The sequence below is a fragment of the Homo sapiens genome, chromosome 13 (genome assembly GCF_000001405.40).
Source record: "Homo sapiens chromosome 13, GRCh38.p14 Primary Assembly".
Taxonomy (NCBI): domain Eukaryota; kingdom Metazoa; phylum Chordata; class Mammalia; order Primates; family Hominidae; genus Homo; species Homo sapiens.
The window spans coordinates 90,125,882-90,131,881 of NC_000013.11; positions in this window are offsets into that span (position 1 = coordinate 90,125,882).

Sequence of the window (6,000 nt, forward strand, 5' to 3'; positions counted from 1 at the left end):
TGCCAAAAGCAAATGCCTAGTTTGGGTTTATCTCAATCCCATTCCATCTGCTTTTTAATTAGTGGCAATTCTTCCCAGATTTTGATATTAATTGCTTATGTGTTTTAGCCTCCAATGCTATTGAGATGTGTGCCTTTCTCTGTATCTGCATAGATTTTTGTAGTGACAATCAGTAGTGGATGAATTAGCTAGATTCCATTTTAAACCTGAGCACCATGTCTTTCTAGATTTTAAAAGTTGGATAATTACTTATTCAATGTAATAATATTAATTATTATTAATTACATGTCATGTCAAGATGACTTCACTAATTTTCCCAACCAATAATTAAAATGCCTGCCATATGACAGGCATGTTTCATTTTTATGGTGGACCAAGAACAGAAATTTTTTTTGGATAATGTGGCATTATATTTATTGAGGGAAGCATTAAAAATGCAGTTACACCAAAGATAAACTAGCTTTGATAAGTACAATAAAAGAGGGTAGTAGATGACAGCATATTATGAATGGATATGGTTTAGTTTGAGATATCAGAGTAGTGACAATAAACTGATATCTAAAGGATAAAGAGGGGCAAAGTAATGTAGGGAAGAGAGATCGTCAACATAAGTATGGATGGGTAAAGAGCTGAAGATGGAATGGAGCATTGTGTACTTAAAATCTGGTAGAAGGACAGAGAGGTGGATTAACACTTGGCAAAGAGGGACATCTGTTAGAAATGCTTGGAGGGTCAATATACCTTTTGTCCTTTATGCATAGCATAAGCAGATATCTATGCATAGCATAAGCAGAGATGATCAGATTTGGTTGAAATGATTACAGTCTCTAGAACTGTGCTTTCTAATACTGTAGCCACTGTGCTGGCCAATAAAGCTGCAATGGTCCATTTTCTAGTGGTTAATAGCCATATGTAGATATTGGCTATCATATTAGATAGCATAGATTTAAAGCGTTTTCCTCATTGCAGAAGGTTCTACTGAATAGTGCTGGTCTAGAGAATGGAGTGTGTCTAATATGGGAGCCCGAATAGGTATAGTGAACTATCTGCAAGGGGACTAGTGTCCCAGAAAGAGACAATAAGAAGTTGGTACATGTATTCGTTTACTAGAAAAATTGTAACAAGGTACCACAAAGTGGATGGGTTAAAACAACAGAGATTAGTCTTTCCCCACTATGGAGGGAAGAAGCCTGAGATCAAGGTGTTGACAGTCATGCTGTCTCTGAAGGCTCTAGGGCAGAATTAGTCCCATGCCCAAATGAGTCTATGTCTTTTGTCTTCTTATTAGAATACCAGTAATATTGGATTAGGGTTCACCCTAATGACCTCATCTTAACTTGATTATATCTGTGAATATTCTATTTTCAAATAACATCACATTTACAGGTACAGGGCATTAGGATGTCAACAAATCTTTTGGGAAAGGCTGGATTCAACCCATTACATCTGGAATGGAGAGACGTTTATATAGTTGTAGATTATTTAAGAGGTTGATTAAATAGAGAACATTAAGTGACCAGTATATTTTAAAGAAAGGTGTCAGAAGAGCTTCAGTTCCCTGTAAAAACAGAGGTGGGAGGATCAATATGGGATGACCAACATGGGGCAAGGGTCCGTTTCATGAGGGTTATTGGGGTCTTCTGCAAAGTACTCAAGTTGGAAATGTCTTGAAAAGGCCCCACTCAAAAGGGCTGCCTTCCAGCAAGAGGCAACAAATGGAGGAGTTGATCTCAGATCCGTCTGTGAGGGACACATACATGGTCTATAGGAAAAGTAGAAAGAAACGACAAGTTTATTTTAGTTCTCACATTGTATGTTAAGAATAAAAAGCTACAAAAGCACCACATAGGACATAGACAGCATTTGAACATTTGTAATTTAGAGTGCTTCAATGAAATACTTAATATGAAAATACACAGAATATTTTCAAAATACACTGATAGTGTGTAGATCCTATAGAGATCCTCCAAGTAAGATCTGATGTCCATATCTCTCTCTCTCCTTTAAAAATCTACACCTTCTACCAAGCTGGAAATGGGAATGCTACTTGTAAGGGCCATTCCAAGCCTTGGAAATAATTAACATTTGTCCATAAGATGCAATGCAACATCCATGCTCCTTTGTTTTTGGAATCAAGTGGCTAAAATGGACCAACATACATAGATACCACATTTCACACAACATCCCTCATCCAACTCTGAAAATTTAAGGAGAAATCCAAAATGTTTGGGTATAAAGAGGTGGGAGGCCACTCACAACATGCGAACTCATAAATAGTTCAATGAGGTGTGTTATGGTGCTGAAGATTTTGGGTTACTGTGCCTTTCATTCAGTAATGCAAGGTGTATCTATATATCTCAATAATCCAAAACAAAACATACTTCCACAATATCCTCAATATTCCCAGATAACCTGGAGGGATCTGAAGCAGGATAGTACTCTATTTTTACAAAGATTTTTATGGCAATTCGGCCCTACTATTCATTTGTTCAACTATTATTTAACACATATTAAGTTACTATCATGGGCCATGCACTGGCTTATTCAGTCCCTTCTTCATGGATGCACAGATAGAAGGACTTTTTATTTTTCTTTATTTAACTTGATTATTTTCATAGAAGAGTCTTGCATCCTACTGAAATCTCCAATTTACTTAAACAATTTTAACTAATATGCATTGTAGTGTTTCTATATATTTAGTTTTTTTCTTGCTCATTATATTAACTATCATTTAATTTTCACAACAAACCTATTTTAAAATATTATAATTTCATTTGGAGATAGGCAAGCAGATATTCAGGAAGGTGGTTGACATTCTAAGTGCTGGTAAGAAGTAAAGCAGGGTAAGATATAATACAGGTTCATCCCACAGTCTTCCTTCTTTGTTGCATATGTCATATTTTGTCTTTTTTGATGTGTTCTAATTCTTACTCTATCTTGGATATATTACAACTTTTGTGAATGTAACTTCCCTATCTACATTTGTGTCTAATCCCTGTTTTCACATTTGAAATCAATCTATGCTTACTTTCTGTTTTAAGATTTGGGGCTCTCTCCTTACTCCTATTCCTTTTCTTGTCTTTGATACTGATTTCCACAGCTACATTCAGCCATTGTCTTCTGTAGGATTGTCATTCAGCTCTTACCAGATCATTTGCAATATTTATGATGATGAAAATAAAATGTCTCATCCTAAGAATATGAAAATCTTCAAGAAAGACAACAATTAAACCTCAAATAATATAATGGAGCAGATATGATGGGATTCAATAAAATACATATATGAAATAATTTTTTAGAATTTACATCATCAAACTTTCTCAGCATTGTTACTTCACTCATTATATCACATAATTTATGACATAGCATATGCTTCTTCATGTTATTTTCCTTTGTTTCATTGTTATCTTGTTTTTGTAACTAAGTTAGAAATAATGTGACAACTATAGCCTAACTATATGCTTAATGTAGTTCTAGATAACTATAAAACATTCCATTAAAATGTGTCTATTATCACAATTATGTGATTATGAAATTGTATACTTTAGTTTTTGGCATCAATTTTTCAAACCAGAGAAATTCCATCTTTAAAAATTCATCAAATATATGTAACCAAATGAGAATTTTGAACTGAGATTCATACTCTCAGCTTTGAATTGCACATAGAAATGAAAACATAATTTTCTTTGGTGTGTTTTGTTAAATGGCAACTATAAAATATTATAAAATGAATAAGATGCACATGCTTAGAAAACAAAAACTTTGAAAGCCATCAGTGCAGAAATGAAAATGCCTGTTTGATAGTATGTAGAAGACTATAACAATAATATTATGTTATAAAGATGTGAGACATATCTTTCTTGAAAGTATAAGCCAAAGAGCAGCTGCAGTCAGAGTCATCAGAATGCCATGAAATTTGTAAAAGAGGGGACTTGTCAACAGTGTCTGCCATGGTCTGTTTGAACACAGCTGCAATTGGGATTTTCAAGCTGACCCCCATCTGGTAGGATGATGATGCCTTCTGGAAGATTCTCGACAGAGCCCAAATGACCAACAGAGTAGGTCAAAAGCAGAAGGACAGATGATAAAGTAAGTTGAAAACACTTGATAATTTTCAATTATGAAAAAAAAATCTTACTTCCAAGAATCCCTACAAATATGCTTGTATCTGAATTTAATGCTTCATAATAAAGAATTTGTTTGGGATTTTGAGAGCCACGTGTGAATTTAAAGATTGGAAAGTTTTTCATTTTTACAATATTTAAAGAGAACATAATGCTTTTCCTGGCTTTAGGATATGATATTAGAAGCATGCAGCATTATTAAGAAAATCCCCCTAGAAGCCTGTTGTTTCATTTCTGCTTGCATCTAAAATAGAGTTTTCTAGTAATTGCAGTCTACAAACATATTTTTAATATTTTTAATAGTAGTGTTCAATGTAAAATGTACAAAACTAAATCTGTGAAGTTCACATTCTAACACAAAATATATATTAATAAAACTTGAGTTCATTTAAACCACTAGAAGACAATGCATGCTATAAATACATAAATCATATAGATGTAACTTACACATAATATGCATAGAGAAATTATATATTAAATATATATACATACATATATAAATTTGAATTTTCTGTTACAAATTATGTAATAATTTTAAAAACATATTGCATTGTGATGTATAGTATGAGCTTATTTTTGTTAGACGCAACTAGAATTTACATAGAAAATTTATGTAATTTCTACATATGATTACCGTAATTCAAAATATTGGAAATGTTTAATTTACAATATTGCATTTGAATCCTATTGTATATGTAAATTATTCTATTTCATTTATATTTGAAAATTTTGGATTTGCCAAGATAAACATTTATAAATATAAAATATCCTTTTATATTTTTATGCATTGTAAACCCATTGATTTAATCTGTTGATGAACACTTAGGTTGCTTCCAAATCTTAGCTATTGTAAACAGTGCTGCAACAAACATAGGAATGCAGATGTATCTTAGGGATACTGATTTCCTTTCTTTTAGGTATCTAACTAAATTGGGATTTCTGGATCACATGGGAGTTCAACTTTTAGTTTCTTGAGGAACCTCAATAGTGTTCTTCATAGTTATTGTACTGATTTACATTCCCACCAACACATTAGTTCCTCTTTCTCCACATTCTTGCAAGCATTCATAATTGTCTGTCTTTTGAATAAAAGCTATTTTAACTAAGGTGAGTTCATATCTCATTGTAGTTTTGATTTGCATTTCTTTGATAATTGATGATGTTAAACACCCTTTTCATATACCTGCTTGGCATTTATAAGTCTTCTTTGGAGAAATCTGTATTCAGATCTTTTGCACATTTTTAAATTGGCTTATTAGATTTTTTTTTCCTGTTGAGTTGTTTGAGCTCCTTATGTATTCTACTTATTAAACTTTTGGTCAGATATATAGTTTGCAAATATTTTCTTCCATTCTGTGGGTTGTCTCTTCACTTTGTTTAATGTTTTCTTTGTGATGTAGAAGCTTTTTAACTTGATTTGTCCATTTTTGCTTTGTCACCTTTGCTCAGACCAATGTCCTGGAGAGTTTCCCTACTGTTTTGTTTTAGTAGTTTCATAGTTTTAGGTCTTGGATATAAGTCTCAAATACATTTTGATTTTGATTTTTTATTTAAAAACTTTAATAATTTTTTAATAAAAATCAAAATGGATTTTTTAATAAAATAAAATCAAAATAGATTAAATGGTGAGAGATGGGGTATAATTTTATTCTTCTGCATATGAATAACCTCTTTACCCAGCACTATTTATTGAAAGGACTGTACTCTCCCCAATGTATGTTATTGGCACCTTTGTTGAAAATGAGTTTACTGTATATAAATATATTTGTTCTATTCTGTTCTATTGGTCTATGTTTCTGTTTTTATGGCCGTACTATGATTTTCGGTTACTTAGCTCTGTAGCGTAATTTGAAGTCAAGTAGCGTGATTCCCACAG